Source organism: Homo sapiens, chromosome 3 (genome assembly GCF_000001405.40).
Source record: "Homo sapiens chromosome 3, GRCh38.p14 Primary Assembly".
In the NCBI taxonomy this organism is placed as follows: domain Eukaryota; kingdom Metazoa; phylum Chordata; class Mammalia; order Primates; family Hominidae; genus Homo; species Homo sapiens.
Window position 1 is genome coordinate 102,298,571 of NC_000003.12, and position 10,217 is coordinate 102,308,787.

The window sequence follows — 10,217 nt, forward strand, 5'->3', positions numbered from 1 at the left end:
TGATTCCCAACTTACGATGGTTCAACTTACAATTTTTCAACTTTACTATGGTGCTTTTAGCTGTGCACATTAATGATAAATACTCATACAACATTTTGTTTTCATTTTTAGTACAGTATTCAAAAATTACATGATATATTTAATATTTTATTAGAAAATAGGCTTTGTATTACATTATTTTGCCCAACTATAGGCTAATGTAAATGTTCTGAGCATGTTTAAGGTAGGTTAGGCTAAGCTATAATGTTCAGTAGGTCAGCTGTATTAAATGTATTTTTGACTTACAGTATTTTCAACGTGTAATTGGTTTATCTGGATATAGCATCATCATAAGTTCAGGAGCATCTGTATCGGTTTAGAGGTAAGCATATGACCTAAGTTGTCCCAAAAAGTATAAAAGAAAGAGCATTTATTTGAGTGCTGGAGAAAACTAGTTTTTTCTCTCCCAGTGGACATGAAGAGGAAAACATTTAGCCTTTTTTGTCACTGAGAACCTACTGGAAACATAAGGGGAGCCAACTTTAGAATAAAATAGAGTGTGGATAGCAGGATGAAAGTAGAAAGAACCTGTGGCTTTGACGACATAGTTGAGCCTTTAGGTCCCCTGCCCTGCAGTCCATTATGCTTCAGAGTCTCTCTTATGTAGTCAATACTTATTGTTAGAACATTTCTTATTGTTCCTACCATTTGAGTCAGGTATTTTGATACTTGCAGCTAAAAGCATTCCAACAGGTACACTTGAGGATGTGGTTTAGGGTGAGGATGTGACTCAGGGTGAGGCAGGCTCAGACATGTACAACATGAGACCTCTCAATCAAGGGTGTTGGGTCTTCTCCCTTTTCTGAGACACATATTATTTTTGACATGAAGGACATTGGCTGGAAGAAAATAATGCTACAAATGATTATTAAATTAATGTGGGTATTGGAGGCTATGCAGTGGAGCCTAAGGCTTTTATGTATTCTGAGATTGACTGAAGGTGGCTATTTTCTCGCTAAACCAGTGGTTCTTAAAGTGGTCCCCAAACAGTCCAGACTTCTGGTTTCTTCTTACACATGTAAATAACTTAGAAATGTCTCACCTGTCCTCACCACAAGAAACAATGTAGTTCAACAACTCTTCTTAGTCTATCAGGGAATTGAGGTGACAGGGTAAATTGCTATTTGGGAAGCTGAAGAGACAGGCAAATAGAATCACAGCTTGCCAGAAACACAAACACTGGAGCTAGTAATGGGTAGGAGCATTTGAGTGTTTCTTAAAGGTAACCGAAAAATTGCTGAAGCTGAGTGTGGACAAGCTTGAGAGTTAAAAACTCTTGGAACCCAGTCTTAGGAGGACCTGGACCTGTCATGCTTTTGTGAGATTTATCTGTGGGATCCTGTCTTAGTCTGTTCAGGCTGCTATGACAAAAATACCACACTGGGTAACTTATAAACAATATATATTTATTGCTCACAATTCTGGAGGCTGGGACATCCAAGATTAAGTCTCCAGCAGATTTGGCATTTGGCGAAGGCCCCATTTCTGATAGATAGTCTCTCTTGCAGAGTCCTCACATGGCAGGAGGGGCAAACAGTCTCCCTCAAATCTTATAATGTATTCATTCTCATGACCTAATCACCTCCCAAAGGCCCCAATTCTTAATATAATCAATTTAGGGGTTAGGTTTTAACACATGAATTTTGGGGGTACACACACGTTCATATGGTAGCAGATTCCTACCAGATTCTTTTAGTGAAGATTGGAGAAAAATCCCCTTGTGGTTTTGGCAGGGCAAAAGTAACCATTTTGAAATAAGCCCGGTGTGTTCTTCATATCAAAGTCCTGCCCTGAAGGAAAACTAGTTTACTAGACTCTTATCTTATGTGGAGGAAGGGCAATTAGACAACCGAGTCCTCTGTACCTTTTCTGCCTCACATAAGGGAGAAAAAAAGGCTAAGAAAGACTTCTGAAGGTCGCAGTCCGAGGACTCAGGCCCATAAGAAACAGCAATTTAATCATAATATTATAGAATGCTTCCCTCCTCAATACCATCACACTACACCAATAGGTCTCCTACGTAATAACAGTGAATTACAACTTGGATCACTGAAAGACAAAAACTGTATCTAAGAATGAGTTTCTAGGGAAACCCAAAGACAACATGGGAGACAAAAACAAGGTCGCCGGTGGTGATTGAAGCCTCTGACACCTATAGCTGTACCACACATTAAATTCAGCCTAACTGCTAGGCAGATAAACATATAAACTCACATTAAAGGCCTATTTACTTCAGTTCCTATTATTCAATAAATCATGTCCAGTTTTCAACAAAAAATTACAACACATGTCAAAAGGCAAGAAAAAAACAAGGTAAGCACCAAAACCAGACTCAGATATAGCAGACATTATGGAATTACTGAGTATAGTCCCAGGATAAGCAGTATCTCCATCACTTGGGAATGTGTTAGAAATGCAAATTTTTGGATCTCATCCTAAACCTACTGAAACAGAAACTGAGGGTGGGGACTGGCAGTCTGTGTTTTAACAAGCACTCCAGGTGACTGTGTTTGAAGATCACTATATTAAGCAGATGTAAAATTTGTAATTTCTTCCTTTTCCTTACTTAGATTTCTTAGAAATAGTATGGTAACAAGGTGATTCAAAATGTAAAAGACTCACTGAAAACATTGTTGTGATTTTGACTTTTAGTTTTGCTAAGCAATATCATTGCTAATGAAGAGTTTCGGATGACCACATGTGGTATAGAGTTACCCCAGCTGTGTTTGATTGTGTCAGACTTACCATTTGACTTGGGAACCTTATCATCATTGTCAACCTTGCAGACAGTGTTTAAGTTCAGATATACAGCTCATAGATCTCCCATCCAGGAGGTTAAAATAATTTCTCAGTGCTGGGTTTTCAGGCCCTAGGGCCCTAGAGACTTTTTTCTACATTGGTTTTTATGAAGGGAATTTGGGAAAAGGGAGAAGATCTTTACATGCGTCCTTTTAAAGGCAGACTGTGTTATTATCTTGCTCTTTTAGTTTACTCAGTCAGTGCTCACTTGCCCTCTGGCCTGATCACAGTTTTGTAGCCACCGGAGAGTCAATTGTTAAGCCTAATGATGGTTGCTTTGAACTCCTCTGAGACTCTGATGTCATAGGTTTCCTTTTAGGTTTTTGATCACAGTTTTCTGTCTTAGGTTGCTCTTGCTCACACACTGGCTGCCTCTCCCCTCTTGGTGCCTGATGTTCGGTGATGATAAATGTTTTCTTATCAAGCCCAAGAAGAGCCATAGCTTGCTATTACTTGCAGAGGCCTCCTAATTTCACATTGGAAAAGCTGAAGTCTGGGGTGGGGAGTGTGTGATAATTTGCTTCATGTATTCATTTGCTCGAAAATACTTAATGAGTACCTACTCTGTGTCAGGCAGGAATCACAGAAACATGATTAGAATAAAGGAATTGTTAATTCCTATGCCAGTACTGCTTTTATAAGTGTATTTGAATAAAAACAAAATGAAAGAAACTAAATCAGTGAAAGTAATACAATAAAAATAAATAGGGAACAAAAAAAGAAAAATAAAGAGAAAAGGCCACTTGGGAGCTAAGTGCCTTCTTGATTACTAAGCACATACGTTTACTTTTCTTTCCTTAATGTTCCACCAGGGCGAAAAATAAGCAAACACTAAAGCAGCACTAGGAAATGTGGAAGAGTGATACCAGCTGAAGCAAAACATTTCTGAATGATATAAAGCAGATAGGATTTGTTTGATGAAATAACCAAATAGAACTGGTAGGTACAGTTAATACAAATGAAAGAGAGTAGCAGTGGAAGAAGAAAGGAGTTTGTTCAATTTTAAACAGAACTTTGAAAAGTTTGGAGATTTTTGGAAAAGCCCGGGGATCGTAATTATGAAGAGGTAAGGAAGGTATTCAACTTTGTGGCATTTGATAGGAAGGCTAATGAAACTGGGGTGTTTCAAGCACCTGGAAAAAGCATTTCCACCCAGTTCCAACAGAACTGGCACGAACAGTTTGAAAGGTAATAAAGAAGCAGATGGATTCTGCCACTGGGGATAGGCAAGAGATATTTAAAGTGAGTACTGGAATTATAAAGAGAAGTGGAATGGTGCTCCTGGGTAATGTCAGCTGCCAACACGGCTAAACTTGCTCACCTTCTAATGAAAAACTCCCATCCACTACATGACTGCGTTTTTGTGTCTCCCAGAATTCATAGGTTGAAGCTCCAAATCCCAATGGGATAATATTATGAGATGGGGCCTCTGGTGGTAATTAGGTTATGAAGGTGGAATCCTAATGACAGGATTAGTGCCTCATAGGAAGAGACGTGAGAAAAACTTGCTTCCTCTATCTTTGCTCTCTGCCATGTGAGGACACCTCAAGAAGATGGCCTCCTGCGAACCAGGAAGCAGGCCCTCGCCAGACACTGGACCTGCCAGCACCTTAATCATGAACTTCCTAGCTGCCAGAACTATGAGAAATAAATGTTTGTTGTTTAAGCCTTGCATCTATGGTAATTTGTCATAGCAGCCTGAATGAACTAAGATACTGCCCAGCTCGCTAACTATAGTCATGGCTTCTATCATTTGTAATCATGTTCATTATCAAAGAAGCTGTAACTTTCACACTAGCAACCTGTAAATATAAATGAACTACTTATAAATATAAATGAACAACTCAGAATTTCCATATGTTGAAGAAAAAAGCGTAAAAATAAGCCACCAAACGAAACAAACTGAAGTAATTCTTGAAACAATTGAATTACTGGTGAAATATAGAAAAACTTACTGAAACAATTTAATTTGTATCTTAAGAGATATTTGAGGGACACTGCATTCACATAGTTAGAATAGGCCACTAAGAAAAAGTAAAAAAAAAAGAAAAGGGAGATTTCATAGAAATTAAAATAAACATATACTTATTGAAACAAATATAACAGAGCAATTGATGTGGAATGTAAAGTACTTAATTTCCAAAAGTGTTTTTCATCTAGATGGACAAGACTTGTCACGTTGGAGCTAATTTTTGTTCAGAAAAAGGCCACTTGAATGGGTACATTAACCCACTGTCCAGGTGAAAGAGGACAATAAGGAGGAACTTGGCTAATGAAAGCTGCCTTTAATCTGATTTTGAAATGCTGAGTTGGTTACTGGTGAGATGGGAATATTTGCATGGGATAGTATTATGAGATGGGGAAAGAGTTTTCCAAGAAGGTCAACGTTTTCCCTTTTAAGGTCCAATGTTGTTAGCACCTCTGTCACTGTTCAAGTTTATGAAATGTCCAGTGGCTTAGTAGACAAAACTGGAGCATATTCTTTGAATTCTTGTGAAATTAGGGAGAGAAAGGACTACCTCAAGAAGGAGATGCCAACCTAGTTATGTGTCAGCTAGAGAGCAATTGAAAAATACAAAAGATGTGACTAAAGTCATACTCCCTAACTGCTGAAGTATATTACACTAATTGCCTAAATATCAATAATAAAGATCAGAGCAGAAATAAACGAAATACAGGCTAGAAAAACAAAAGCTCAGTGAAACCAAGAGTTGGTTTTTTAAAAAGATAAACAAAATCTACAACCTGTTAGCCAGACTAAAGAAAAAAAGATAAGACTCAAATTTAATTATAAATGAAGGAGGAGACCTTACATAAATACAAAGTATCATAAGAGACTACTATGAGCAATTATAGGCCATCAAATTGGATATCTAAAAGAAATGGATAAATTTCTAGAAACATACACAATCTGCCAAAACTGAATCATAAAAAAATAGAAAATCTGAACAGACCAATAATGAGTAAAGAGATTGAAACTGTAATAAAAAACCTCCCAAAAAAACAAAAAACCCAGGATCTGATGGCTTCACTCATGAATTCTACTAAACACTGAAAGAATTAATGTCAATCCTTCTCAAACTTTTCCAGGAAATGAAAGAGGAGAAAACACTTCCAAACTCATTTTTTGAGGCCAGCATTACCCTGTTACCAAAGCCAAATAAGAAACTACAAGAAAAGAAAACTTCAGGACAATAAAAAATCCCGAATATTAGAATGGATGTGGTTGAACGCCAAATCGGTTTTATGGAAGATCAAGCCAAAAGGTTTTCTTGGAATGTAGTGCAATAAGACAGATGAAAATTGTCAAAGAAACTTGGAAGGAATGATGTCATTCAGTATATGAGGTTTAGATATTCACAAAGCATGTAAAATATTTAGAAATTCCAACATCTTCCTGATAAAACTTGTAAAAGGAGAAGCCAGACAGAATAGGAGGAATGACATAATCCAAGTAATAATAGAAGAATATCTTTTTTTCCAAACTGAGAGACAGTACTGTTTTTTTTTTTATTTAAAAGAATTAGAATACAAAACAGCAATATTGCATTAAGGGACCTATGAATATCGGGGAAGAATTTATGAAGTCGTAGGAGAAAGAAAAAGTCTTGCAATTTTCTAGAGAGTAAAAACAGATTATCTGAAAAGGAAGAAAAATCAGAATGACATTGGTGTTTTCTAACACCAAATGCCAGAAAATATGTAGCCATATCTATAAAATCCTGAGGGATTTGAATATTGGATTCTCCATTAGGCAATCTATTACTCAAGAGAGAAGGAAAAGTAAAGACAATTTGAAAGATAGAAAGTTGAACATCGTTGAAAAAATTAAAATTGCTCTAGTATGTTCTTTAGCAAAATGTAAGAGGAAACCAGAAAAGAAGACATGGGATATCGTGAATAAAATACCAAATATGACTTATCAATAAGTCTAAGTTGTCATGAACTATTTGCACAAACTATGTGTGAGTTTAATGCAGTCGTTAACTAAGAGTCCTAAAATAAGAGAGACACAGAAGCATAATAAAAGTGTTACTTGGAATACTAATGTAAGTCATTGAGAGGTTTCTTGTAATAAAAACTTACTAAGTATAAGCACACATCTAAAGGTGATATATCTTAGAAATAGAAGCCAAGAAAAAACTATTATGAATTCAAAATTAAGCTGAAAAGAGAAATTGATTGTATAGTAAATTAAAAACTTATTAACCAACACTCCAAGATTATATGATGAGACAGTACGTTATTATTAATAACCAATATTATTTGAGGACTTACTACATGACAGATATGCTGCTAGATGGATACTAACGTTGTCTCCACTTATAGATGAGAAAACTGAGGACAGAAAAATTAAGTAATTTGCTTAGAGCCATCAGATAGGAGGGAGCAAAGACAGACAATCTAACTTCAATCATGCTCTAAATCACTACTCTAATATTATCTCCTCAGCCTCTTATTGGAATATAGATTGTTCAAAAATGACTCCATAATAAAGAGAAACTAACACTCCTGTCTTATACAGTCTGCAGGTATTTGTCCAACATATGTCAGATATATTTATTTTAGCCTGTATACTCTGGAGTATCAGTAACCTAGTATCACAAAATTCTGTGTAATAAGTTGCCTCAAAACCTGGTGGTTTGAAACAACTATCATTTTTTCTCATGGATCTGTGGGTCACCTGAGAGGCCTTGTGCTAGGCTTGTCTTGCCTGGAATGGGTTGTCCCAGTTCCATGTGTCTCTCATCCTCATCTTGGGACAAACAGGCTAGCCAGGGCATAAGCTTTCATAGCATGACAAAGTCACAAAAGAGCAAACCCAAACATACAGGTGCTTTACAAGCCATGGTCTCATCACACCTGTTAACATTCCACTGGTCAATCCACATAGCTGGGGAGGAACTGGAAAGTCATATGGCAAATACTCTAAATGCAAGGGGGGATAATAAATTAAGGTCATTAAGGCTTTACAAAATAATCAGTCTGCTTCTTTTGTAGTTGTGTTGGATGAAATAACATATTGTTGCTCATGTGTTCAAAGAAAACTTTTCTTAACCAAAATGATCCTTTAAGGATAAGATGGTGAGATTTTCCTTCCAGCCAAGTATTGAGACAGCCGTGTGCAGCAACTGAGAAGGAAAGGTGAGGACAGTCAAAAAAGTTAAAAGATTTAAGGCAAATATATCTATACCTATATTTAGCAGGAAGGAAGGTGGTGCATGCACATAAGCATGCTTTTTCTGATTCTAGGTAGGGGTTTCAGAGTTTTACAAGCAGTGGGAAGAGCCCTTGCTAAAATAGTCTGGAGATTAGCTTTTTGCCCTAGGTCTGCCACTAGTAAAAGACAAAACTTTTCTGAGTGGCCATTTTCATATCATTAAAGTTGGCCCCAGACGATCTATGAGATTCTTTTAAGTCCTAAAACTTTAAGAAAGATATTTTTAAAAATGAAATATGATGATGGTATAAATTGGAAGTTACTGAAATGTGTTTTATAAAATTAGGAGCAGCAGTTGAATTGTAAGAAGCAATAACAGCAAAGGCAGAGCAAGATGGCTGAATAGACACCCCCAGCAGTTGACCCCTGACAGGAACACCAAATTGAAAAACTATCCACACAAAAAAGCACCTTCATGAGAACCAAAAATCAGGCGAGTGATCACTGGTTTTAACATCATATCAAGAAAAAAATGCACTGAAGAAGGTAGGAAATACAGCCTTGAATTACTGATGCTACCCCTCCCCATTCCCTGGATGCAGACATGTGGCATGAAGAGACAATCTGTGTGCTTCGGGAAAGAAGAGCACATAGACTGTGGAACTTTGCATTGGAACTCAGTGATGCCCTCTTATAGTGGGAAGCAATACAGGACAGAACTCAGTCAGCACCTACAGATGGAGAATTTAGACCAGCTCTAGCCAGAGTCAAATCGTCCACCCAGTAGTTGGAACATGAGTTCTGGCAATCCCTGCCACTGTGGGCTAAAAGGTAGTGAGGTCCTAAATAAAAGGCAATCTTGGAAGACAATCTAGACCATAAGGACTTGAAAGGCAAACTTGAAAGACAATCTAGATCATATGGACTGCAATTCTTGGGCAAGTCCTGGTGCTGTGCTGGGCCCAGAGTCAGTGGACTTGGAAGGTATGTGACATAGTGAGACACCAGCTGGTGCAGCCAAGGAAGTGCTTGTGTCAGCTCTCCCCCAATCCCAGGCTGCAGTGAAGCTCATAGCTTCAGGAGAGACTCCTTCCCTTAGCTTGAGGAGAGGAGAGGGAAGAGTAAAGAGGACTTTGTCTTGCAACTTGAATACCTGTTCAGTCACAGTAGGAGAGGGCACCAGGCAGATTCCTGAGGCCCGCATTCCAGGCCCTAGCTCCTGGATAACATTTCTAAACACACTTTGTGTCAGAAGGGAACCGATTGCCTTGAAGGGAAGGACACAGTTCTTGAAGTATTCATTCCCTGCTGCCTAGAGAGATCTTGGACTCATCAGTAGTGGTATCCAGGCAGTACTTGCAGTGGGACTTAGGAGTGACTCAGAGCTGTGCTGGTTTCAGGTGTGACCCCGTGAATTCCCAACTACGGTAACAATGTGAAGAGACCCCTTCTGCTTGCGAAAAGATAAGGAAGAATAATGGGGACAATGTCTTACAGCTTGGTTACCAGCTCAGCTGCAATGGAGCAGAGGACCAAGCAGGCTCCTCCAGTTCCCGATTCCAGACCTTGGCTCCTGGTTGACTTTTTTGGCCCTACCTTGGGCCAGGAGGTTCCATTGCCCTGAAGGGAGAGACCCCTGCCTGGCAGCATTCACCATAAGCCGATTGAAGAGCCTTTGGCCTTGAGTGAATATTGGCAGTAGCCAAGCAGTACTTGCTATGGGCCTGGGATAGTGGTGGCCAAAAGGAGAAACTCCTATGCTTGAATCTTAAAATATGTCAGTGGCATGACATTTAAAGTGGAAAGGGGAGGGAAGAGTGGGAAAGACTTTGTCTTAAGCTTGGGTACCAACTCAATTGTAATAGAATAGAGCACCAGGTAGATCCCAAAAGTTACCAAATCCGGGCCCTGTCTCCTGGACAGCATCTCCAAACCTTCTCAGGGCTAGGGGACCATGCTGCTCTGAAAGGAAGGACACAAGCCTGGCTGGATTTTTACCTACTGATTGTAGAGTTCTAGGACCTTGAATGAACATAGGAAATAGGCAGGGAGTGGACAGTGTGGGCCTTAAGTGAGACCCAGTGCTGTGTTGGCATTTAGTCTGACCAAAGACAGTTCCAGTGGTAATGGCCAAAGGAGTGCTCATGTCACCATCTTCCAGCTCCAGGCAGCTCAGCACAGACAGAGACTACATTTGTTTGAGAGAAAGTGAGGAAAG

The 10,217-nt window shown here is 38.7% G+C and overlaps 1 long non-coding RNA gene across 1 annotated transcript, besides 1 other annotated feature; it reads left to right on the forward strand.

Annotated features, from left to right (window-relative positions):
- Positions 237 to 1,436: an enhancer, noted in NCBI's record as "MED14-independent group 3 enhancer chr3:102017651-102018850 (GRCh37/hg19 assembly coordinates)". NCBI's record gives its function as "activates an origin of replication core promoter dependent on BRD2, BRD4, P300/CBP and CDK7 cofactors, and independent of MED14, by STARR-seq in HCT116 cells {active_cell/tissue: HCT116}" and the evidence as "EXISTENCE:reporter gene assay evidence [ECO:0000049][PMID:35650434]".
- On the forward strand, positions 287 to 4,299 carry LOC107986105 (uncharacterized). The gene is made up of 3 exons (XR_001740817.1): positions 287 to 361; positions 3,651 to 3,904; positions 4,213 to 4,299. It is a non-coding gene; the product is annotated as an uncharacterized LOC107986105 (long non-coding RNA).
- The last annotated feature ends 5,918 nt before the right edge of the window (positions 4,300 to 10,217 follow it).